Below are 24,896 nucleotides of genomic sequence, written 5' to 3'. Positions count from 1 at the left end.
GAGAATTGTTCCTTGAATATTTACATGGTGACAGGAAGTGTTTTCTTAACAAAAGAAATGGGGCACTAATGGTAAATAAACATCACGAAGAGACACCAGGGAGGAGATTCTGTCAGTCACCTCCCTAACCCCTCCCTCCCGCTCCCAGCACTGTCCTGGAATCACTGTCCCCAGTGTCCAGGAAAGGGGTTGTGAACAACAGCTACAAAGAGCTATGGTCCAGATATCTGGGGCATCTGCTCCCCTGACTTCCCAGTGTTCCTGTGCAGCATGGCTCCCTAGATAGTCCAAGGGAATCAACCAAAAAGCTGTTGGAACTAACAAAAAACACTGAAGAAGGAGGTTGAGGAAAATCAGCATGCCAAAATCAATGGTGTCCCAAGAACATATTATGACAGCAAGACTAGGGATGGGGCGCAAGGCAGCTTTAAGCAAGAATTTCCCATGGTGTTTAGTGACTTCAGTGTAATGTGCTAAGAATCCCAACAGTGAGGGGTGCGCTGCTTGATTGGACAAATCACTTGTACAGTGGGGCAAAGGGGAAATAAAGCATTTATCACTGCCCCTCAGAGGGAAAACATACAGGGAGCAATGAAACCAGACAAAGTGGAGTTAACATGCAAGCAACTATTGTTATTGGGATTTCATTATAAAACCTCTACTATGAGCATAAAAAATAAATCTTGAGAGATGAAATACATAATGTAAACAAAATCAACTAAAATCTGAGGTTACCATCCTTGATTACACCAACAAAACCATGGGGAAGAATATAAAAATAGGCTTATGTTTCTCATCTTCAGTAGATCATGTTTCATTCCTGATAAAGATAATTAGCTTGAATACATTTATGAAAGTAAGTTTTAAAATACCGTATGCTGGCTGGGCGCGGTGGCTCACGCCTGTAATCCCAGCACTTTGGGAGGCCGAGGCGGACGGATCATGAGGTCAGGAGATTGAGACCATCCTGACTAACATGGTGAAACCCCGTCTCTACTAAAAATACAAAAAAAATTAGCCGGGCGCGGTGGTGGGCGCCTGTAGGTCCAGCTACTCGGGAGGCTGAGGCAGGAGAATGGCATGAACCCAGGAGGTGGAGCTTGCAGTGAGCCAAGATAGCGCCACTGCAGTCCGGCCTGGGCAAAAGAGTGAGACTCCGTATCAAAAAAAAAAAAAAAAATACCGTATGCTATTTAATATACATTTTCCAAGACAGTCTCTTAAAACAAAATGGCATCAAAAGGCTGTGGTGGGAGATACAGGCAAATATACACCAAGTAAATGCAAAGAAAAAAAGTAGCATTGGTCAGGCTAAAACCCAAGTTCAAATCCTAAAACAAGAAATGTAAATTGAATGAGTGGCCAGCGCAGTGGCTCACACCTATAATCCCAGCACTTTAGGAGGCCAAGGCTGGTGGATTGCTTGAGCCCAGAAGTTCGAGAGCAGTCTAGGCAACATGCTGAGACCCTGTCTCTACAAAAAAAAACACAAAAATTAGCCGTGCATGGTGGCACACGCCTGTAGTCCCAGCTACTCAGGAGGCTGAGGTGCGAGGATCACTTGAACCTGGGAGGCAGAGGTTGCAGTGAGCTGAGATTGCACCACTGCACTGCAGCCTGGATGACAGAGCAAGACCTTGTCTAAAAAAAAAAAAAAAAAGAAAGAGAGAGAAAGAAAGAAAGAGAAAGAAAGAAAGAGAGAGAGAAAGGAGAGAAAATAAGAAAATGGAATGAGTTGTAAGTAAAAGTGAAAAGGTGACAGATTTATCATTGCTTATACATATATTATTGTATATCAGCCTCTACAACAAATCCCAAAGCACACATATATTCTGATTTCTATACTTTTAGTGAGGATTTTTGATGTGTAGTGGGGTGGAGAGGTCACATCGTGCAGCACACAGCCTTTCACTCAAAAAAGCAATCCTTTAGCATCTGTGTCCCCAGTCAAACCCCTCTGTCACAGCACACATTTAAGCACCTTAGCCGCTACTCACCCATGCACACCCCATCTCTGCCCCAGACCTTGTTCTCGATGCTGGGATAGAAACTGTAACAATGCAAGCAACATCCATGGACTCATGGCACTTTTAGGCTAATGGAAGAGATGGACCGTAAACAAGCAAACAGGTACATGGAGCAAGAGGAGAGGGAGTAGAAGAAAGCGGAGAAGAGGAGGAGAAAAGAAAGGAGGAGAGGAAGAAGAAGAAGAAAAGGGAGAAGAGAGGGAGGAGAAAAAGGAGAAGAAGAAAAGGGAGAGGAGGAGAGAAAGGAGAAGAAGAAAGAGGACAGAAAGTAAGAGAAAGAGGAGAGGAGGAGGAGAAGCAAAAGAAGGAGAAGGAGGAGGAAAGGAAGAAGAGGAAGAGAGAGAAGGAGAAGAAAGAGGAGGAAGAGGCAAATTCGCGGAGACAGAAAGCAGATCAGTGGTGGCCAGGTCCTGAGCACAGGAGGGGCTAGGGAGTGACCATTCATGGCTACGGGGTTTGTTTTTGAAGTGAGAAAAATGTTCTGGAACTAGACAGTGGTGATAGTTGGACAATATTTTGAATGTACTAAATGTCACTGAATTACACACTTTAAATGGCTAAAATGGTAAATTTCATGTTATGTGTATTTTACCATAATTTTTAAAAATATACTTGCAGACATGCTAAGTGCTAGGAAGAAAAGTAGGCAGGTTTTGAAAGAGAGAGATTGGGATGGGGCTCATTGCGAGTGGGTGACCAGTGAAGAACTCTGCATTCAACCGAGAGATGAATGATGACCCAGAAGAGCCTCATGAGGATCTGGGGAAAGGGCATTCCATGCAGAAGGATGCACATGGTGGAAATTAGCTTGAAGAGGTGGGCAGGTGCCAGCAAAGGCCTGTGCCTTTCATGAGTGCCATGAAAACCATCGAGGCAGGGGGATACGTGAGCTAACTCGTGTGTCCAAAGGTCTGCAGCTGCTGTGGGAAGGAATTGTAGGGATGAGCTTGAGGTAGGGTGGGCAGGGACTGCACTGAGATCAGGGCCACCATGGGAATGTCTGCAGGCAGGTGCAGGGCTCCATGCAGGGGTCCAGGCAGGGCTGGCATGCAAGGTCAGGACATCCATGCCTGGAAAGAGGACACACGGAAGCCAAGAGGGCCCAAGCCCAGCAGGCAAGGTTGCCGTGGCTACTGGACGGGCCCAGGAAACAGGGAAGCCAAATGCCTAGTGAAAAGGATGGTGTCATACAGTTTCCATGAGGGCAGTGGGAGTGACTCTGTGTCTGGAATTGGTGGGTTCTTGGTCTCACTGACTTCAAGAATAAAGCCACGGACCCTCGCGGTGAGTGTTACAGCTCTTAAAAGCGGTGTATCCGGAGTTTGTTCCTTCTGATGTTCAGATGTGTTCGGAGTTTCTTCCTTCTGGTGGGTTCGTGGTCTCGCTGGCTCAGGAGTGAAGCTGCGGACCTTTGTGGTGACTGTTACAGCTCTTAAGGCGGCGCCTCTGGAGTTGTTCATTCTTCCCCGTGGGCTCGCGGTCTTGCTGGCTTCAGGAGTGAAGCTGCAGACCTTCGCAGTGACTGTTACAGCTCATAAAGGCAGTGTGGACCCACAGTGAGCAATAGCAAGATTTATTGCAAAGAGCAAAAGAACAAAGCTTCCACAGTGTGGAAGGGGACAGGAGTGGGTTGTCACTGCTGGCTTGGGCAGCCTGCTTTTATTCTCTTATCTGGCCCCACCCACATCCTGCTGATTGGTAGAGCCGAGTGGTCTGTTTTGACAGGGCGCTGATTGGTGTGTTTACAATCCCTGAGCTAGACAAAAAGGTTCTCCACATCCCCACCAGATCAGCTAGATACAGAGTGTCTACACAAAGGTTCTCCAAGTCCCCACCAGAGTAGCTAGATACAGAGTGTCCATTGGTGCATTCACAAACCCTGAGCTAGACACAGGGTGCTGATTGGTGTGTTTACAAACCTTGAGCTAGATACAGAGTGCCGATTGGTGTATTTACAATCCCTTAGCTAGACATAAAGGTTCTCCATGACCCCACCAGACTCAGGAGCCCAGCTGGCTTCACCCAGTGGATCCCGCACTGGGGCTGCAGGTGGAGCTGCCTGCCAGTCCCGCGCGGTGCGCCCGCACTCCTCAGCCCTTGAGTGGTAGATGAGACTGGGCGCCGTGGAGCAGGGGGTGGCGCTCATCGGGGAAGCTTGGGCGGCACAGGAGCCCACGGAGGCAGGGGGTAGGCTTAGGCATGGAGGGCTGCAGGTCCCGAGCCCTGCGCCGCGGGAAGGCAGCTAAGGCCCGGTGAGAAATTGAGCACAGCAGCTGCTGGCCCAGGTGCTAAGCCCCTCACTGCCCCGGGCCGGTGGGGCCGGCCAGGTGGCCGGCCGCTCCGAGTGCGGGGTCCGCCCAGCCCACGCCCCCCGGAACTCGCGCTGGCCCCGGTTCCCGCTGGCGCCTCTCCCTCCACACCTCCCTGCAAGCTGAGGGAGCCGGCTCCGGCCTTGGCCAGCCCAGAAAGGGGCTCCCACAGTGCAACGGCGGGCTGAAGGGCTCCTCAAGTGCCGCCAAAGTGGGAGGGAGCCCAGGCAGAGGAGGCACCGAGAGCGAGAGAGGGCTGTGAGGACAGCCAGCACGCTGTCACCTCTCAACTTGATGCTGAGAAATAAAGAAGATGCTAAAGAGGGTGAGTCCCTTAGGCCCCAGGCCAGGGCTGCATCTGGGAGCACATCCTGAGCCCAGCTGTGGAGAATGGAGGCAGTAGAGGCTGGAACCCCACTGGGCTCAGAGCACTCTGCTGGCTGGAATGAGGGCAGGACAGTGAGCAGGCATAGGAAGGCTGGCTGCCTGGTAGGAAACCTAAAGGAAAGAAGCAGCTTCCTGAGTGTGCAGGCTTGATTCACAAACAGGAGAGTGGGAAGAGCGGGAGGGAAAGACGTCTGGCTCCCAGGCAAAAGCATCCAGAAGGATGAGAGGCGGTCACAGAGGAACCAATTTAACAGTAGCAGAAACTGTCAATCAAGATAAAACTGACAGGGCCAGGCACAGTGGCTCGTGCCTGTAATCCCAGCATTTTGGGAGGCCGAGGAGGGCGGATTACCTGAGGTCAAGAGTTCAAGACCAGCCTGGCCAACATGATGAAACCATGTCTCTATTAAATACAAAAATTAGCTGGTTGTGGTGGTGGGCGCCTGTAATCCCAGCTACTTGGGAGGCTGAGACAGGAGAATCGCTTGAACCCGGGAGGCAGAAGTAGCAGTGAGCCGAGATCACACCACTGCACTTCAGCCTGAGCAATAGAGTGAGATTCTGTCTGAAAAAAAAAAAAAAAAAGATAGAACTGACAGGTCCAAACAGGGAAGCTTCCTGGGTCAGTAGTGTGGACATGTGTCCTCAGTCCTGTGTCCCCTGGTCACACCCAGCTCTGGCCCTGAGAACCTGGGATGACTGAGTAAGCAGAGAGGAGTCCACAGGGTTGTGAAGTTCATAATTCCTAACACAGGATGTGCATTCCTGTGGTGGCCAAGGAGAATGAGGAGAGAACGAGCTTGCACAGGTCGTGGCCATGCTAGAGGGGTTTGACTGAAGTCTTGCTGGGACATAATGTGATAACATGCCTTCTCTGAGTCTCAATATACTCAATATACTGGACAACGAACTTTGTCAGAAACGTGATAGCACAATAAGCATGATGTTAGATTTAAAAAACCTACCAAGCTGAGGGGTCCACACCATCCACCACAGCATAGAACATCAGAGGGTTCTTGCCAAAGCGTAAAGTGAAAACAGAAAAGAAATGCCATGTGCTCAGAGGAGTGATGTGTCCAGCCGTGCCCTCATCTCCTCTCCTTCCTACCTTTCACAGTCCGCCTCTAAGCTTTCACCCAAGCTTACTTCTGTGGGTTCCAAATGTGGATCTCAGAATCAAGAAAACCTCCTAGGTTCTGTAAACGAGAATGATTCACATCACCAGTGTTTACTCGCACCCTCACCAGGCACAACTCCGGGGCTGTGAGGTTCTCAGGCACAAGGCACACCTTGTCCTGCCTGCCTGTCTGTAGGGACATGGGGAGTGTTACTTGAGCCCAAGGGATGGCAAAGCCAGGCTTGCCAGGAGCGAGGAATGTTCCCAGAAAAGAGGGGAGAGGGAAGGCTTTAGAGCACTGGGGACGATGGCCCGGAGGAGGCCCAGTGTCACTCTAGGCTGACCAGGACTAACCCACGTCATGCTCAGGGATCCCAAGGGGCCAGCAAACAGCTCAGCAGGGCTACAGCAGGTGCTTCCTTCAGAAAAAAAATGTGTAGGGAGGGGACCAGGAAAGAGGATGCCTGTCAATGAGACAAGAATAGCACTGGGTGGTCACAGGAGCATGGAAAAACCCAAACAACAGCTAAAACAAGAACAAGACAAAGAAACAACAAGATAACAGAAAACCCAAAGGAAGAGAGTAAAAACAGCTGAAATCCCACTCAGGGTGACTTGTCCATGGCTCTTCTGGGCAAACCCAAAGAAGGGAGAAAGGAGACAGTAACCCAGGGGGTTCCCTGAAATCTCCTCCTCTTCCAGAACACCTAATAATTGTTCCATCCCCTAATTAAAGAAACACCCATAAAATTAGAAACCCAGACTCTGCTGGGTGTGACACGTTCTCATGAGCACGCCCGCACTTCTCTCTCAAGTGTGTACTTTCGCTTCTCACTAACAGTTTCTTGCCTTTCCTATCATTCTGACTCATTCCCGAGTTCTTTCTCAAGACAGTTTCAAGAGCCTGGACATCAACTGGGGCTGGGGTCTCACCAGCATCTGGAGAGCCTCCTGAGTCCTCTGGCAACATCAAGGGAAGGAAGAGAAGATTCCTCCGTGGAGCCCGTCCCCGCACAATTCCCGCCCTGGGACACGGCACGGCTGCTTTGAACCAAGCCTCACCCTTGGCACTCGAGTTGGCTGTGTTCCCTATGATCCATCTACCCACCGTCTCCAGGACAAGCACTGCCCCATTCACTGAAATCAGCACATAGTAATGCTGGATAAGTGAATGAATTGGTGAATGAGTGAACAAGTGAATGTGTGCACAGCTCACTTGTTTAATTGGAGTTCCGAGTTTGGAAGTGAATGAACAGAAAAAAAATCAGTCACCAGACCCCAGATCCAAGTCATGAGATGTAGCAGCTGGATGACCTTGGATGTAGCGCATCACTTCTCTGAGCCTCACCTTCCTTATCTGCAATGAAATCAGGGAGCTTGCCCTGCCACCCCGCAGGGACACGGGAGCAGCAAGGGCTGGGTAGGCACCCAGTCAACGTAAAGCTCACAAGTTGTTGCCACCCTTCATCACGACCCCAGGACATGAAGCAGATACTGTATATCCTGGACCCTCCGGCCGAAAGCTCTTCCGGCTCCTGGGCAGGGCCAGCCCCCAGGCTCCCCAGTGGCATGCCCAGACAGTTCCAAAAGGCAGGACCGAAGCAAAGAGCCAGGATCCAAGCGGGATCCTGACCTGGGATACACACATTCCTCGGCGTGCTTTCCTGCTTTTCCATTCTTTATAAATCAGAAAATTAATTACCAGAAAAAGGATCTTCTGCACCAGAAACTCAAATGAGTTTAATGTATAATTTATACATGAAAATGTAGATGTCTATGTGTGACAAATCTCTGTATAAATATTTTTGCAGTTAAATTTTTAGGCATCTGTCTCCCTCCAAGAAGAGTCATCATGCAGGCATCATGAGTCCCCAGGGCTCAGGCCGGGTGGTGCTGGCAAGGTGGCTTGTCATTTCACCAGTTAGTGATGCAGCTGCCAGCGCAGCCCAGCCCGGAAGGCCCCAGCTTTGGCAGCAGCCACCTGCAGCCAAGTCACAGCTCTGCCCCAACCTCCCCGGCAGGGTCCTGCTGTGTCTTGTTCAAAACAAGGATTTAACACCATGTGCCACCTCTGTGCTGGGCCCAGGGGAGGAAGATAGAGTGGAGGAAGCCCTCACACACCAGTGCCTTTGAGCCCATCGGAGAGCCAGGCAAGCAGATGAGGAATGACAATGACAGGGTGGCAAATGCCAGGGCAGGCGTGGGTCCTACATGCCAGGCAGCCACAGAGGAGCAAGTACTGCCCTATGCAAGAGCATCCCTGAACACTCCAGGGCAGGGGGGCCACTCCTGATGGAGTCTGTCAGGTGGATGAAGGCAGAAGGACATTCCCAACGGTGAGAGCCACTCATGTGAAGACCAGAGACAAGAGCAAGCATGTCCAGATGATGTGGGTGTGGCCTGTGGCACCTGGTGGGGACTGGCCAGCAGTGAGCCTGGCATGGAGAAGAGCCAGATCACCAAGGGAGCTGTGTGCTCAGCCCTGAAACAGGACTTTGTTCTGGATTGAAAACTTCAAAGGGTGAAGGCACATAAGCCTTGCAAACTGTAAAGTGCATGCAGCATCCACAGAAACTACAATCCCTGGCAGGATTGAGTCCTGTGCCAAGCCAAGCCTCAGCAGCCTGCCAGTTTCTGGCCCAGGGGTCCTGGATGATTTCCTTCACCCACAGGTGTACCAGTCCATAGGATTGACTGGCACATGACTTTGCATACAAAACACCTGAAATGTAGGCTAGGCCCTTGCTTCTCATCTGCAGTTGCTACGACCATTTGGGGATGGTCATTCATTGTGTGGGACGTTCCCTGATGCCCTCTCTCCGGATGCCCAGTGGGGCTCCAGAGACAACCCACAGCATCCTCCTGCCGGAGGATCTGGAGGGAGAGGCACAGTCCACAGAAGGGGCCCTAGCCAAGAACTGGTGTGCCACGCATGCCAAGGAGAAAGGAACTGCATATCTACACCACACTCTGGCCCAGAACCAATGGCAAGGGTCACAAATATGCCGTCGTTCACCCTACCATTGCCAACCACGTCGGAGCACAATCTGAAGTCTCAATGGTGTCTTCCCAGAACTCGGGCCTTCCACAACAAGACAAAGCAAGTCCCAACTCCCCGACTCCAATAAGGGCCGCTGGACAGCCTCTGCAGCAGCCTCGAAGCCCTAAGGTCCTGGCCAAAAGGCAAAAGCACAGGCTCATGGGACCTGATGCCCACAAGACAAGGGTTTCAAGCCCCCAGCCCTCATCACCCCAGTGCCCATCTTGAAGAAGGGCACAGCCTGGCCCTGCTAATTTTTCTACCTCCTGGGGGACTGGTGGCCTACCTCTCTGTGACTCCCAGCCACGTACCTCGCTTGGTCTTTGGAGGCCTGAGACCCTCGTCCTGGGCCAGGGCCTCCCAAGTCTCCCGCTCCTTCCAGCGCCTCAGCTGCTCCTCCCGCATTTTGTAGAAGAGGATGTGCTTCTGCACATCGCTGAGCTCGGCAAGGAGCTCGGGGTCGATGTACATGTCGTGCAGGATCTGCTGCAGCATGATGCCACCTGGGATGCACGCACCAGAAGGGCAGCCAGCAGGGGAAGCAGGGCCAGGCAGAACGCCCGAGGGGCTGCTCTGCACTACGGACTGCTCAATCCGGGGCCACTCTCGGTGCCCCTTCTCTGTGCAGCATTGTCAGTTGGCCTCAGCTTGCAGCCAGCGACGAACTCATCTCCTCTACCCAGGACAGCAAAAGAGGCCAGGCAACAGGACCCAAAGGGGCAGGTGGGACTCTGCAAGGGGGAGCAACCACCAGGAGCAATCTAGTCCTTCTCCTGGGTCACCAAGCACGGCATCCCAGGAGAGCCCATGTCTTGGCATCACCTGGGGTTCTGAGACAATGGGAAGGGCCCAAGCCTCCAGCTCAGCCAGGAAATGCCCAGTCCCAGCCCTGCCTGGGCTGGTAGGTGTCGAGTGATCTGTTAGTGGAAGGTAACAATGACACCAGCTATATCAATGACACTGCCCCGGCCAGCTGGGAACTGATCTCTCCTCTGCAGATAAGAGGAGGAGAAGGAGGCAGACTTGCCTACTAAATTCCATGTCTTTTCAGCCAATTTCAAACACAGACCAGAGGAGCCTGCCAGAAGCTGCTGGGCCCCTCAGCCCTCTCAGCCCCTCTCTCTGCGGGTTCCTTCGCTGCCAACTTTCTTCCTTTCCAGAACATTTGGCATTCTGAGATGATGCGTTTAAAACTCTGCCTTGGGGGAGGAAAGATTTTTCCTCCTATCTGTGTTACAGCCAAGAAAGAAAACAAAATGGAATCAGTAGAGACAACTGGAGGGGATTTTATCTTGGAATTCCAGGACAGAAAGGAAGCAGACATCCTTTCCCTTTGGCCTATATATAATGAGATCCTGCAGCCATGCGTGGCTGACAGATAAACCCTCCAGGGGCCAGTTTTAATGGTCGTTGTTAATCTTGTTTGTTGCAGATGCCTGGAGTTGACCAAAAAGAAAGAAGATGAAACTGGCTCTTCTCTGTGCCCTGATCAGAAGCACACTGGAATGGCGGGATGTTGCCTTCTGCTGGGAGGGAAGCCACCCTCTCTTTGGTGTGTGAAGGTGGGTAGAAGCTGCCGTTGCTGAGATCTTTAGGGTGAAAGCTCACCCTAAATATGTGCTCAGAGCAAATCACAGATGCCTTCTTATTGGGACAAGGATATTGAAGCTCAGAGAAAGTAAGTGGCTTGCCTATGGCTTCCTAATGGACAAGTCACTGTATTGGGACTCCCCCGTTTTGAAATTTGACATCCACTAGCAACTATGAATCTGTTGATGGTTTGAAAACATAACCCAACCAAGGGAAAACAAACGAACCAACAGGATTTGGCACTGTGGCTTGGTTGGATTGGTGACCTTCCTGTCCCCTTCCTTGCCCATGAGGGTGGAAGGTGGATCAGGTACCCAAGAGTGATGGAAGAGGGGTGGAGAGTTGGCATTCTTCCCCCTCTGCAAGGTTAACACAACAGGAAGATGGACTAAGCAGATTCAGATGAGCTGTAAGCCCATAGGGTCAAAGCTCCTGCTCAGCTAGGCAATGTCCAGGTCACAGGAGTGGAGTCAGACGCCCCACCCCTCCCCACCCAGGTCCAGCTAGCTGGTCCCAGTGTGCCCAGACCTTCCTAGAGCCGCCACAGGACTCGCCTGTCCGCTGCAGAGCTGTGGCCCTGGACTCCCATCCACCCACCTCAGGGCTTGCACCGACTCCCCCACCGGGAGTCCTGGCTCCCCTCAGTTTCTGAGACCGGGGGTCTTCCCTAGCCTCTGCCCAGCTATTCTCTTTCTCCCCCTCGCCGTGGCTGGTGGGAGACCCCCGAGTCCAAAGAGGAGACAAGGGGAGGAAGGCCCCCAGGGTCTGGGCTCCTGCGGGCAGCTTCTTTTTGTCTTTCCCGGGCCGCCAGATACCTACGACCACAAGAGGGCACGGGGCAGGGACAACGCTGTAGGGAGCAGCAGGAATGGGCCGGCTGGAGGCGGGCGAGAACGGTGATGGTGCCACCCTGGAGGACCGTCGGGAGAGTGAGGCAGCCGGACTAGAATGACCCCCGCTAGCGCCCATTTTGTGCGATAGAGGGGATCTCGCTGGGGGCGGGGTGATCCCTGGCACTCCCAGGTCAGCGGGGCAGGAGGCCAAGAGACACCGAATCGCGGGGACGTGAGCGTCACCCAGCCGCGGATGGCAGCCCGGGAGCGGGTGAAGTCCGGTTTCCGGGAAGACGTGCTTCGGGGCCCGCCTATCAATTCTCCTGGGCCTGGCGGGGTGGAGGGCGGGGGACTCGGCCAGGCCTGGGGCGCTCCCTGGCGGCCGCACGGGGAGGCACTCGGCTTCGCAACCTGGGTGTGCCTGGCCTGGGTGTGCGGGAGGACCCCAGAGGACCCCAGAGGACCCCAGGAGCAGGGGTCGCGCCGAAGAGCAGAGTCCGCGGCTGGAAACCAGGCAGGGGAGCCACGGAGTAGTCACACAGGTTTTCTGCCGCCTTTCAACTGGTCTTATTTTGCTTTCATTTTTCACCAGCCCATGTGGGGTGTTTAATGTTGCACGCGAACGCAGTTTCTTCCGGGCCCGGAAGGCCCACGCACGCAACAATGTTGTGCAAGTGACTGGAAACCACCTGAGTGTCCCTCCATGGGGGTGGGTTGCCCAGCATGGACCTCTACTCCTGTCACAATGAAGTCGACTGTTTCGTCGAGGGAAGTGGCCACCGTTGATAAAATGAAAAGACGCCATGCAGAATACTGTGCACAGGGTAATCCATTTTTTTTCTTTTTTATTGATCATTCTTGGGTGTTTCTCGCAGAGGGGGATTTGGCAGGGTCACAGGACAATAGTGGAGGGAAGGTCAGCAGATAAGTGAACAAAGGTCTCTGGTTTTCCTAGGCAGAGGACCCTGCAGCCTTCCGCAGTGTTTGTGTCCCTGGGTACTTGAGATTAGGGAGTGGTGATGACTCTTAATGAGCATGCTGCCTTCAAGCATCTGTTTAACAAAGCACATCTTGCACCACCCTTAATCCATTCAACCCTGAGTGGACATAGCACATGTTTCAGAGAGCACAGGGTTGGGGGTAAGGTCACAGATCAACAGGATCCCAAGGCAGAAGAATTTTTCTTAGTACAGAACAAAATGAAAAGTCTCCCATGTCTACCTCTTTCTACACAGACATGGCAACCATCCGATTTCTCAATCTTTTCCCCACCTTTCCCCCCTTTCTATTCCACAAAACCGCCATTGTCATCATGGCCCGTTCTCAATGAGCTGTTGAGTACACCTCCCAGACGGGGTGGTGGCCGGGCAGAGGGGCTCCTCACTTCCCAGTAGGGGCGGCCGGGCAGAGGCGCCCCTCACCTCCCGGACGGGGCGGCTGGCCGGGCAGGGGGCTGACCCCCCCGCCTCCCTCCCGGACAGGGCGGCTGGCTGGGCGGGGGGCTGACCTCCCCGCCTCCCTCCCGGATGGGGCGGCTGGCCGGGTGGGGGGCTGACCCCCCCACCTCCCTCCCGGATGGGGCGGCTGGCCGGGTGGGGGGCTGACCCCCCCACCTCCCTCCTGGACGGGGCGGCTGGCCGGGCAGAGGGGCTCCTCACGTCCCAGTAGGGGCGGCCAGGCAGAGGCGCCCCTCACCTCCCGGACGGGGCAGCTGGCCAGGCGGGGGGCTGACCCCCCCGCCTCCCTCCTGGACGGGGCGGCTGGCCGGGCGGGGGGCTGACCTCCCCGCCTCCCTCCCGGACGGGGCGGCTGGCCGGGCAGAGGGGCTCCTCTCTTCCCAGTAGGGGCGGCCGGGCAGAGGCGCCCCTCACCTCCCGGATGTGGCGGCTGGCCGGGCCCGGGGCTGACCCCCCCACATCCTTCCTGGACGGGGCGGCTGGCCGGGCAGAGGGGCTCCTCACTTCCCAGTAGGGGCGGCCGGGCAGAGGCGCCCCTCACCTCCCGGACGGGGTGGCTGGCCGGGCGGGGGGCTGACCCCCCCACCTCCCTCCCGGACGGGCAGCTGGCCGGGCAGAGGGATGACCCCCCCCACCTCCCTCCTGGATGGGGCGGCTGGCCGGGCGGGGGGCTAACCCCCCCACCTCCCTTCTGGACAGGGCGGCTGGCCGGGCGGGGGGCTGACCCCCACCTCCCTCCCAGACGGGGTGGCTGCCAGGCGGAGACGCTCCTCACTTCCCAGACGGAGTGGCTGCCGGGCGGAGGGGCTCCTCACTTCTCAGAGGGTGTGGCTGCTGGGCGGAGGGGCTCCTCACTTCTCAGACGGGGCGGTTGCCAGGCAGAGGGTCTCCTCACTTCTCAGACGGGGCAGCCGGGCAGAGACGCTCCTCACATCCCAGACGGGGCGGCAGGGCAGAGGCGCTCCCCACATCGCAGAAGATGGGCGGCCTGGCAGAGACGCTCCTCACTTCCTAGATGGGATGGCGGCCGGGCAGAGACGCTCCTCACTTTCCAGACTGGGCAGCCAGGCAGAGAGGCTCCTCACATCCCAGACGATGGGCGGCCAGGCAGAGACGCTCCTCACTTCCCAGACGGGGTGGCGGCCGGGCAGAGGCTGCAATCTCGGCACTTTGCGGGGCCAAGGCAGGCAGCTGGGAAGTGGAGGTTGTAGCGAGCCGAGATCACGCCACTGCACTCCAGCCTGGGCACCATTGAGCACTGAGTGAACACGACTCCGTCTGCCATCCCGGCACCTCGGGAGGCTGAGGCTGGCGGATCACTCGCGGTTAGGAGCTGGAGACCAGCCCGGCCAACACAGCGAAACCCCGTCTCCACCAAAAAAATACGAAAACCAGTCAGGCGTGGCGGCGCGCGCCTGCAATCGCAGGCACTCGGCAGGCTGAGGCAGGAGAATCAGGCAGGGAGGTTGCAGTGAGCCGAGATGGCAGCAGTACAGTCCAGCTTTGGCTCGGCATCAGGGGGAGACCGTGGAAAGAGAGGGAGAGGGAGACCGTGGGGAGAGGGAGAGGGAGAGGGAGAGGAGGGAGAGGGAGAGGAGGGAGAGGGAGAGGAGGGAGAGGGAGAGGAGGGAGAGGGAGAGGAGGGAGAGGGAGAGGAGGGAGAGGGAGAGGAGGAGCCTTTCCCAGGGTAATCCATTTTTAAAATTCTGTATGTCCGATTACTTTTGTGGAGACAAAGGGAAAAGTACAGAAGATCACACGCCTAATTGTTTAGCATTGCTTCTTAGCTTTTTCTTGGAATGCGGAGAAAAATGACACTTTAGACAATTCTGTGTTGTTTTATACAATGAGTAGGATATACTTACATAATTCATATGACTCAACTATAATGCATTTCAAAGGTTTTCAAATGTGATATAAAAGAACAGACTTCTGGAGCCTCAGCATCTATGGAGCAGGGACCCCCCCAGAGAGGGACCTGCAGGCAAACCAGACCTTCCTATGCCAGGAAGGCTAGGAAGTGGCAATGGAGAAACCATCCATGTTCCCTGGGGTTCCTAAGCTGGAAGCGGGCTTTGAGGCATCTCTTAGAAGCAGCTCTGGCACTGGTGTGGAGAGGGCACTGGGAGAGCAGGAGGCAGGGGAAACAGCCAGTGGACTCTGGCCAAAGTCCAGGAGAAGGTGACAGGAACTGAGCCAGCCTTGCCAGTGGGAGCCAAGCAGGGCAGAAATGGGGGTCCCGGAGAGTCCTATCAGGCACTCTGCTTCTACATAAAATCCTTTCAAATCTGAAGTCCATATGACCAATGATGGCCAGACAGCCCTGTCATCTCAGCGCGGCTGAGCCTGGCACAGCCACCATGTAAGGATCAGCAACAGCAGGTGAGAGTCTGGAGTAGTTTCTGCCTTGTCTCCACTGAAAAATTATGGGTGTCAAAATCAATAGCATCTCCTATATGAATGCAACAACTACTTAGAAAATGCCATGTGAAAAAAAAGATCCTTTCATAATAGGAACAGCATGTATGAAATACTTGGAATGAATTTAACAGTGTGGAAACCTGTAATGTAAAAGTAAAAATCTTCACTGAGAGCATACCTACAATTTAATTAAGTTTAATAGCATTAAGTTCATATAGGAACACACCACACTGACACTCAGAAAGATGCCATATTGTCAGATGTGCCATTTATCTGTGTATTAGCCAGTCTCCAAGATGGTTCCAATGATGCTTTCCTCCTGGAACTCACACCCTTGCATAGTCACTCTCGCATCTATTAGGGTTGGTCTGAGTGACCAATCAAATATGACAGACGTGACATATTCTAACAGATTACTGGTTGCACACTCTCTCTGATAACTCACTCTGGGGGAAATTATATTGTGAGAACCAGGTGGAGAACTGAAGCCTCCCACCAACAGTCATGGAGTGAGGTTGGAAGGGATCCTCCAGCCCTGGCCAACAGTTTCACTGCAGCCTCATGAGAGACCCAGAGCCACAGTCACCCAGCTAAGCTGCTTCTAGATTCCTGACCCTCAGAAGGGTATGAGATATATATGTGCTGCTTTAAGGTGTTAAACTTGGGGATAATGTATTATGCAGCAAAATGTAACTCAATATGTATTATGAGTAACACGTAATACTCAAAATGTAACTCAAGCATTATGCAGCAAAATGTAACTCAAGTTAATGTATACATTGAATATCATTTCGAGCCAAAGGTGAAAGGAAATTGGGAAGTAGAGAGACTTGATAAAATAATTCCCAAGTTAACCAAAAGAATGAACAGATAAGAAACAGCCTTGAAAATATTGAGGAATAGTGAACTCTATATTGTGCCACTATTCAAATTTATAAAATCAAACATTTCAGTTCTGATACAAGAACAGGTAGGTTGAACCAAAAAAGAGCTCTACTAAATCATTATTATATGATCAAAATGGCAGCTCAAAGTAGTGCAACAAGGATGAAAGCTCAGTCAATGAAGCTGGGACAATTTGCTAGATCCTTACCTGTGATCCTGCCAGCACAGCCTTCAGTAGTCATGTCCTCTGGGGGTTCTGTGCATATATAAGAATAATTACTGCAACATCCATCATAACACTGAAAATTTCAGAATAACTGATGTGTTCAATAAAAGTGGTTTAGATTATAAATGAGAGCACATCCGTAGGATAAAATGTAATACAGCCACTGAAATTGATGTTGAGAAATGTATTGGCATAGATGGTGCTAGTGATGTGTTCGTTGGTAAGAGGGAAGACAGGTTTAAAATATTATGTGTAGCAATGTCCCAGTTTTACATCTCTGCATCAGGAAAAAGAATCGTTCCACCCCCACTGCTTTCTAAGGAGTGTAAATAACTTCTGTTAAAAGGAGGATCTCCTGATCTGGGCAGGATCCTTGCTAGGTTTGGAGATGAAGCTGTAGGGGGTGAGCTCAGCTCCTCCACATAACACAGGCCAGGAAATTGGGGTTTCTGAGCTGCAGAGACAACAGGGGAAGAAGAGGGGGAGGTGGCCATACAACCCAAGGTTGTGGCCCACCTTGCCCCAAATCTCATCAAAACTCATGCTGTGAGATTTTTTATTATTTTTTTAAATGAATTTAAACTTTATTGTTTTTTTAAAGAATTTTCTCTAATTCTGCCAGAATAGAGGCAGGGCTCAACAGAGGTCCCTAAAGGACACAGGAGTTGGGGACACATGGGCTGCCAGGAGCATGAGTCCCCAGAAACTGGCAAAAATCATGGGGAGGGCTTGGGATTTTCCTCATGATGGGAGCAGTGGCATGTATCTCTAACAAACAAGGACACCCATGCTGACATTGTAAACAACTGTACACACACACACATTTATGATTACAACAGCAGAGCCCAGGCTTGCAGCCAACCGGACCTGTGTCACCCAACTTGCCAGCCCAGAGACCTCCCAGGGAAGTCCTTCTCCCTCCCACGACTCCCTTTCCTCCTCTGTGCCAGGGTAACCACTGGGGGTAACCAGCAGGGTGTGCCACAGGGCTTTGGTCCACATTAGATAGACAAGGTATGCATGAGCCAGCCAGGCACACAGCAGATGACAGTGTGAGTTCTGCTTCTTAATCTGGGGCCTGGTTCCTCACTAACTTAGTCAAAGTAATACTGGCTGAGGGAGTGGGCTGTGGTGGCTGATTCTGTCTGCCTAGTGAGCATCTCCATACTCCAGGTTTAAAAGAAAAAATCTTGGCCAGGCGTGGTGGCTCATGCCTGTAATCCCAGCACTTTGGGAGGCTGAGGCCGGCGGGAGGTCAGGAGTTTGAAACCAGCCTGGCCAACATAGTGAAACTCCGTCTCTACTAAAAATACAAAAATTAGCTGGATGTGGTGGCGCACACCTGTAGTCCCAGCTACTCGGGAGGTTGAGGCAGGAGAATCGCTTGCACCCAAAATCGGGCCACTGCACTCCAGCCTGGGGGACAGAGCGAGAATCCGTTTCAAAAAATAGAGAAAAGAAAAAGTCTTGAGTGCTGGACAAGCCTGTGACTCAGGACTCGGAATGATAAACAAGAGAGAAATACACTGAGTTTCTATGATAGTCACTAACTCGGGGCTGCCGGCACTCGTGTTCCCCTGCAGAGGAAAGGTCTGCGTGCCCTAAGAGAGAGCTGCTGGCGTGCAGAGAGAAGCAGAGATGCCGACGACGGGGAGGAAACACACTGGCGGTGGTGAGGCTCCTTCCAGCAGCCACAGCCCTGGTTCCTCTCAGTCTGTGACCCTCCCACATCCTTCCCATCTATGAGAGCCTGTAAACTCCTTTTGCTTAACCTTGTTTTAGTTAAGGTTTTAAACAGTTGCCACCAGTGTGCCCTAACCACCCCAGTGGCTTGAGTGTTTCTCCGCTTCTTTTGCCTAGGATCTGCGGAGATGGACAGGACAGGAGACTAAGGAGGTGAGAACCCTGGCCCACACCATCACTAAGGGCCCTTCCTGAGGTCTGCTTCCCACATGAAGTCCTCCCAGGGCCCTGAATCCAGCCATCCACCTCCTTGTTGGACATAGGCTCCATTAGAGAGATGCGGGGCTCCAGCCCCCCTTGCTCTGCCTCCCTGTGAGAAGTTGCTGACAGTGAAGGAAAGGTCAGTGAGTCCTGCTAATTAAAAAACACTTTGCCCCATCCGATTTCCCCTGACACAAGGTCACTCAGCACTAGCGCAATTAAGTCTCAGCCCAGGACTGACTCTTTTTAACTCAAAGGGCGGGAGGGAACTCCAGGACCCCAGATGGCAAACTGGCTCACACCGTGGACAACCTCCCACAAGGCCCTCCCAGGTCCCCTGGTACCCACTAGAGACCACACAGCCTGCCAGCTCTGCCTGCTGCCTGACTCACTGCAGACGAGTCCATCCACACCACAGGCCCTGCCCACTGGGCTTGAGACTACTCGGACCCAGAGCAAGGAGAAGCAGGGTCCTTGCCTTGCAAATGACTGAGAACTTGAGTGAGCCAGACTCCCCCAGGCCAGGGGAGCCCTGTGCCCCCAATCTCTGTTCCCTCCCCAGTGGAACAACCAGGGCCGAATTGTAAACCTTTCCTCATTCAATTCTTAGAACAGTATTATGAGGAAGGTAATTTCATTATCTCAAGTTCATATTTGAGGAAAGTGAGGCATAAGTTCACATAGCTGCTAATGATGGATCCAGGACTTAAACCCAGGTCTCATGGAACCCTGAGTAACCCCTCCCCTCCCCACGCCCCAGGCTCTTGTTTTCAGCTGGACAGTCCTTCCAGGGTCACACTACTACAGACCCAAGAGCTACTGCTCAGCCTACCCCTCCCCAGTGACCAAATCTGGAGGGCACTGAAGGAATTCATGTGCCGTCTGTCCCTTAATCTGAACACAGAGCACACACATCTCTGGCCCCATGGAGCCCACATCCCCAACCAGTGTGACAAGGAGCCCACCATCTCCAGGCCGCCCTGTGGAGCAGAAAGAAGGCTGACCAGAGGCTGTGAACCAGGCAAATCCACCCACCACAGACTGGGCCCTAAGTTCCCTATAAAGGGAGATTTAGAAAGCCAGGAAATCCAGTGCCAAGGTTCACTTCCCTAAACCATGGGGCCTGGGGCACAGACCACTGCTGTCTTCCAATATCTGGCCTCTCTTCTTTCTCCTACACACACAGCTAGACCTTTGCATCATTTCAGGTGGCTTGTGAGTTCTGGCCAGCAGAATGTGAGAACAAGCAGAGTACTCTCCATCTTCCCTCCCTGATCCTCACCTCTTCCCCAACCACCAGCTGACTAGAGATGCCTCCAACAGCTACAGGAGGCTGGACCCACAACAGGAAAGGAACCTGGGTCCATGAAAGACTGTGTGGAGCAGAGAATCCCCCACCCTAGTTCCCAGCAACTACCAGAGACTGTGGCATGAGCAAAAAAATAAACATTTTTCTTTCCTTTTTTTTTTTTTTTGAGATGGAGTCTCACTCTGTCACCCAGGCTGGAGTGCAGTGGCGTGATCTCGACTTACTGCAAGCCCCGCCTCCTGGGTTCAAGAAATTCTACTGCCTCAGCCTCCAGAGTAGCTGGGACTACAGGCACCTGCCACCACACCTGGCTAATTTTTTGTATTTTTAGTAGAGACGGGGTTTCACTGTGTTAGCCAGGCTGGTCTCAATCTCCTGACCTCGTGATCCGCCCGCCTCAGCCTCCCAAAGTGTTGGGATTACAGGCGTGAGCCACCGCACCCGGCTAAATAAACATTTTTCAAAGCCTCCCAAGTATAGGTAATGTTTGTTACAGTGGTTAGTCTATTCTGGCTCTATCCTTCTGTAACCACCGAAGGGCTGGTTAAAACATTTTATTGGGCCCCATCCCAGTTTTTGGTCCCATAGGCCTGAAGGAAGGGGCATACAATTTGCATTTTTATTTATTTATTGAAACAGAGTTTCGCTCTTGTTGCCCAGGCTGGAGTGTAATGGCACAATCTCGGCTGACTGCAACCTCTGCCTCCCGGGTTCAAGTGATTCTCCTGCCTCGGTCTCCTGGGTAGCTGGGATTACAGGCGCCCACAACCATGCCCGGGTCATTTTTTGTATTTTTAGTAGAGACAGGGTTTCACCACATTGGCCAGGCTGGTCTCGAACTCCTGACCTCAGGTGACCCACCCGCCTTGGCTTCCCAAAGTACTGGGATTACAGGCACGAGCCACCACACCTGGCCTGAATTTGCATCTTTTAACAAGTGCTGGGGGTAATGCTGCAGCTGCTGCTGGTCTGGGGTGATGTTGTGGCTGCTGGCCTTGTGAACCACTGCCCAAGTGCGTAGCTGCAGTGTGGGAGTTACTATCCCATTTTGCTGAGGAAATGGTACCCAGTTCCTGGCCGTCATGGGCACTGAGCTGCCTTCCTGCTGTGCCTCGTCAGTGCCTGCCTACATCGTTGCTCATTGATCATGGCCTGCGAGTTAGTGTCATCAGAGGAAGGGAGAAGAGTTCCTAGAGTGGAAACCCTGGGCTGTAAGCCCGGTTCTACCACCTCCCAGCTGTCTGGCAGCAGGCAAGTTCCTCAGTCTAAGTCTCTTTCCTCTGGTGTAAAAGGGGAAAAGGGTGTTCGTTTGCTCCCCACCCCCATCAGCCTGGCAGCTTTGTGCCCACAGTAGATTTTCTATGAGGACCTCTCACTGATGCACTTGAGTGGCAGAGACTTGGGACTAAAGGAGGACTTCTGGCCCCAGATGCCCCAGTGCCAGCCTCACCCTTGAGGGCCACAGTGAGCACCCACGTGTCTCACCGCCTCCAAGGCAGCTGAGACCTCTCCTGGTACAGGCTTACAGGGGGGAAGGCGGAATTGTACAGGGAAAAAAAACCTCAGACTACAGTCACAAATTTTACATGCACACCTTTGCCAGTTATGAGAATTGTGTTGCAAAGAGGAAGGAGTGGAGAGTTTACCAGCCAAGGGCTGGAGGACCCCAACACTCCAGTTTCTTAGAACATTCATTGCAGGTACTCTTTTATACTACCAAAGTCCTCCCACCCCATCCCCCACCAACCACAGCTTCCAGGAATCACTGAGATTCACAGAGAAAGGAAGTAAACACAATTAAGAACAAAGTTATGTTGAAAAGATATTTCAATGCACATGTTGCAAACAAGGCGAGTCCCAGGAATCATTCCGAAGAAAAAGACAGAATGACACTGAAATCCATCATGATGGTTATCCCATCATGATGGGAGTAAAGCCTTTAAGGGAGTAAAGCCTTAAAGATCTCCTTGTCAGATGAGACTTTTAGAACAGACCCGACATTCTGTTGACTTAGAAGAGCTGATGTCATCCTCAGAGCCCAGGTGATACACACATTCCTGGATGTGGCCACAGGGTGGATGATAGTACCCTCAGCTGAGATGGGAATAGGGGGCAGAGCAGTTTTGGATGTGGGTGGAATTGGGGGTTGGAGAAAGAGAAGCAAAGTTCAGCGGTTTGGGATGCAGCCACTGAGGTGTCTGCAGGAGTGGATGGAGAGGCAGAACAAGCATTTGAGGACACTCAGGCTCTCTGGGTAGCAGACATGGCCTGAGTGATTTCATTTACTACTGAGAGGACAGTGAGTGCCCCGGGCTGCCTCCCAGAGTGGCTGGCCCTTACCTAGGGCACCTGGTGGATGCTCTAACCCTCAGGATTCACTTTTCACCATGAGATATTGACTCCTTTAAATTTCTGCCTGTGTCCTATTTTAAAAGTGGCTCTGCTGGATGGACAAGTGGTGGAAGGAAATTTGGAATAAGCAACAGAGATTCTGGTTGTCTTCAGTAAAAAACTATGCATTGGGGCCGGGCGTGGTGGCTGACGCCTGTAATCCCAACATTTTGGGAGGCCGAGGCGGGTGGATCACCTGAGGTCAGGAGTATGAGACCAACCTGGCCAACACAGTGAAACCCTGTATCTACTAAAAATACAAAAATTAGCCAGTTGTGGTGGCATGCGCCTGTAATCCCAGCTACTCAGGAGGCTGAGTCAGGAGAATCACTTGAACCCGGGAGGCAGAGGTTGCAATGAGCCAAGATTGCACCACTGCGCTCCAGCCTGTGTGACAAGAGGGAAACTCTGTCTCAAAAAAAAAAAGAAAGAAAATAGAACTATGCATTGCTTAGGGTGCACCCTTCCAATTATCTGATTCTAGTCTTTCACTGCCTTTGAGCTATTTTTACAACTAAGTTGTAGAGTTAATGCAAAATAATTCTTGTCTATGGATGTGCATATTATACGAATAAGATTCAATTGACCTTTCTCCTCAAAAAAAAAAAAAAAAAAAAAAACCCCAGCCAGTTTCAACTTTCCTTTACTCCATACAGATTTATGGTTCATTGTGATTTCTCTTTTGAACTGGCTGTTAATCTTAGCAGCACTCTCAATTACTGAGTTAAATAAAATCTTTGACATGTGTACATGTAATATATATGAGTTATGCCTTTTTTTAAAAAATTATCTTTAACAGAAGGCACGGGAAGGACCACTACCTCTCAGAGATGGAAAGGCTTGCCATGGTCCACGCAGCACAAAGCCCACCCCCAGCCATATCATCCCAGACAGGAAGGGTGTAGCCTGGGCTTGCATACCTCCAAGGACAGGGTGCTCAGTCCCTCCTAGAGGCCACTTCACTTCTTCCCATATTGGCTCACAGCTGTGACTTTAAAACACAGAACGAGTGCATATCTAAAACTAGAAGAAAACACTATGGTCCTTCCTGCTGACAGCTGAGTGCTTGGGCCTAAATCAGCATCTACACACGCGGCCTGCAACCCTGGGTTCCATGCAAAGGCAGTGTGGCTGAATTGGCTGCAGGTGGAGTGAGGAGAGAGGCCAACACAGGCTCACGGTAACACTTCCACTGCCTCAGAACAAAACCCTGGATTTCCTGACCTTCCAGCAGTCCATGTGTATTTTCAAATACCAGGTTTTTCTCAGGGCACCAGGGCAAGCCGAGCAAGGCCCACACACGCTAGTCTCACACATGTCCCCCAGCACTGCCCCCAGGTTCCCAGCCCTGCTGAGCTGTCCTCACAGACACGGACACCCTCCCTCATAGGAGGTGCGGAGGAGCACCCAGTCCCGGTCTGAGGCCTCAGGCAAGTCCCAGCACACCCCAGGGCCTCTGTTCTCCTTATGAGTGGGACCAGATGGGGTCCACCAACCGTCCAAACGTGATATGCTGCTGTCTTCAGGGCACATTATCCCCAGCGTTGATGTTCACAATAATCCCCTTTCTCCCCACAGACCATCCCTCCTGGGCCCCAGGCCTCTGTGGCCTACCCTGGCCCCTTGGCAGTTGATGGCCACTCTGCTGCTTCTGGGGGCTCCCGGGCAACTTTGGTTGTGTTGGTTTCTGGTAGCATCTGCGCTCCAGGCAAGAAGCAACACCCTACCTTGTCTCCCCACCTCTATGGCACAGAAAGAGAACAGACCTTGAACTCCAAATGCCTGCTGAGGCTTGCCACAGACCTCGAAGCCTTGTTCCTAAAGGGACAGGGAAGTGGACCGTTTCGTTTCAGTGATTCAAAGCTTGAGCTATCTGACATGTGACCCAGGCAGCTCTCTCGTAGGGACTGGCAGCCACAGATAAAATTCCCCAATCATTAAAATTATGTTAGCAATAATTCAGGGGATGCATACTAAATAATCTGGATCTTTGTTAGATGCTTACCCATCTCAACTCATTTAATCCTTGAAACAACCTCACAGGGGTAGGAGGTTTTGTCACCTTATACCCACACACACCAGCAGTGGTCAGGCAGCAACAGGTACACCCCAGCCCTGAGTACCTACTTATTAAAATGTGATCCCCCATCCTGGCTAACACGGTGAAACCCCGTCTCTACTAAAAATACAAAAAAAATTAGCCGGGCGTAGTGGCGGGCGCCTGTAGTCCCAGCTACTCGGGAGGCTGAGGCAGGAGAATGGCGTGAACCCGGGAGGCGGAGCTTGCAGTGAGCCGAGATTGCGCCACTGCACTCCCGCCTGGGCCACAGAGCGAGACTCCGTCTCAAAAAAAAAAAAAAAAAAAAATGTGATCCCACCTCCCAGGAGAACTCCTCTAAAAACATGTTTTTTTCTTACAAACTGTAAGAAGCAATTCCAATAACACTGTAGTTTATATATATATATATATGTCCTTGTAAGTGCAAAACCCTGCAAAAAACTGTAACACCCATCCACAGAAGTGCAATGGCAATAGCTGACAGCATCCCCGGCCTTCATCCCCCTCCTGGAGGATGCTGCATTTCACAGCCGCATGGTTTCAGTGGGATAAAGCATGAGGAGGGGTGTGTCCGGGGATCCCTTCCCTTGCTGGCTTCACCACCACACCACCCATCAGGGGGAGGCTCGGGGTTTGTCTGTGGTAGACTCCTTCCCTCCACCATAGATGAAGGGGAGGCTGTGGAAGGCAGAGAAATGGAAACAAGATCCTGTTGACGTCACTGAGCCACTTGGATCAACCCAAACCTGAAACTCACCCCACCTTGGGACTTTCCAGTTTCAAGAGCCAAAACCTCCCCTCATTGTTTAGGCCAGTCTGAATTGGGTTTTCTATTACCTGCAACTGTAAATGGACTCCTCTGGTACAAAGGCAAGGCCCATCTGTTCTTGGCACACTCCTA

At 52.2% G+C, this 24,896-nt stretch overlaps 1 protein-coding gene and 2 long non-coding RNA genes across 5 annotated transcripts in view, besides 8 other annotated features; 1 reads left to right on the top strand and 2 right to left on the bottom strand.

Annotated features, from left to right (window-relative positions):
• Nucleotides 1–9,805, bottom strand: part of SH2D4B (SH2 domain containing 4B) — a 108,659-nt gene extending 98,854 nt beyond the window's left edge. For 2 of the 3 annotated variants that reach the window (NM_001388272.1, NM_207372.2), the window contains exon 1: nucleotides 9,192–9,805. In NM_001388272.1, the coding sequence (NP_001375201.1) occupies nucleotides 9,192–9,375 (184 nt within the window). In that variant the 5' untranslated portion in view covers nucleotides 9,376–9,805. Of the gene's footprint in view, nucleotides 1–6,773; nucleotides 6,889–9,191 lie in introns of those variants that run through there. The other variant, NM_001145719.1, reaches the window with a different exon arrangement.
• Nucleotides 6,245–6,364: an enhancer, noted in NCBI's record as "active region_3670". NCBI's record gives its function as "activates an Ori minimal core promoter by ATAC-STARR-seq in GM12878 lymphoblastoid cells {active_cell/tissue: GM12878}" and the evidence as "EXISTENCE:reporter gene assay evidence [ECO:0000049][PMID:35858748]".
• Nucleotides 6,535–6,594: an enhancer, noted in NCBI's record as "active region_3669". NCBI's record gives its function as "activates an Ori minimal core promoter by ATAC-STARR-seq in GM12878 lymphoblastoid cells {active_cell/tissue: GM12878}" and the evidence as "EXISTENCE:reporter gene assay evidence [ECO:0000049][PMID:35858748]".
• Nucleotides 6,745–6,924: an enhancer, noted in NCBI's record as "active region_3668". NCBI's record gives its function as "activates an Ori minimal core promoter by ATAC-STARR-seq in GM12878 lymphoblastoid cells {active_cell/tissue: GM12878}" and the evidence as "EXISTENCE:reporter gene assay evidence [ECO:0000049][PMID:35858748]".
• Nucleotides 7,962–8,101: an enhancer, noted in NCBI's record as "active region_3667". NCBI's record gives its function as "activates an Ori minimal core promoter by ATAC-STARR-seq in GM12878 lymphoblastoid cells {active_cell/tissue: GM12878}" and the evidence as "EXISTENCE:reporter gene assay evidence [ECO:0000049][PMID:35858748]".
• Nucleotides 11,408–11,507: an enhancer, noted in NCBI's record as "active region_3666". NCBI's record gives its function as "activates an Ori minimal core promoter by ATAC-STARR-seq in GM12878 lymphoblastoid cells {active_cell/tissue: GM12878}" and the evidence as "EXISTENCE:reporter gene assay evidence [ECO:0000049][PMID:35858748]".
• Nucleotides 11,578–11,767: a silencer, noted in NCBI's record as "silent region_2548". NCBI's record gives its function as "represses an Ori minimal core promoter by ATAC-STARR-seq in GM12878 lymphoblastoid cells {active_cell/tissue: GM12878}" and the evidence as "EXISTENCE:reporter gene assay evidence [ECO:0000049][PMID:35858748]".
• TSPAN14-AS1 (TSPAN14 antisense RNA 1) lies at nucleotides 11,765–18,110 on the top strand. The gene is made up of 2 exons (NR_120661.1): nucleotides 11,765–12,127; nucleotides 17,876–18,110. It is a non-coding gene; the product is annotated as a TSPAN14 antisense RNA 1 (long non-coding RNA).
• Nucleotides 11,958–12,097: an enhancer, noted in NCBI's record as "active region_3665". NCBI's record gives its function as "activates an Ori minimal core promoter by ATAC-STARR-seq in GM12878 lymphoblastoid cells {active_cell/tissue: GM12878}" and the evidence as "EXISTENCE:reporter gene assay evidence [ECO:0000049][PMID:35858748]".
• On the bottom strand, nucleotides 14,527–22,532 carry LOC124902471 (uncharacterized). The gene is made up of 2 exons (XR_007062218.1): nucleotides 16,275–22,532; nucleotides 14,527–15,321 (listed from the first exon to the last, which is right to left on the bottom strand). It is a non-coding gene; the product is annotated as an uncharacterized LOC124902471 (long non-coding RNA).
• Nucleotides 24,562–24,641: an enhancer, noted in NCBI's record as "active region_3664". NCBI's record gives its function as "activates an Ori minimal core promoter by ATAC-STARR-seq in GM12878 lymphoblastoid cells {active_cell/tissue: GM12878}" and the evidence as "EXISTENCE:reporter gene assay evidence [ECO:0000049][PMID:35858748]".

This window comes from Homo sapiens, chromosome 10 (assembly GCF_000001405.40).
Source record: "Homo sapiens chromosome 10, GRCh38.p14 Primary Assembly".
NCBI lineage: Eukaryota > Metazoa > Chordata > Mammalia > Primates > Hominidae > Homo > Homo sapiens.
The sequence above is the reverse complement of the archived record's forward strand: the minus strand, read 5'-3'. Positions and strand labels throughout refer to the sequence as shown.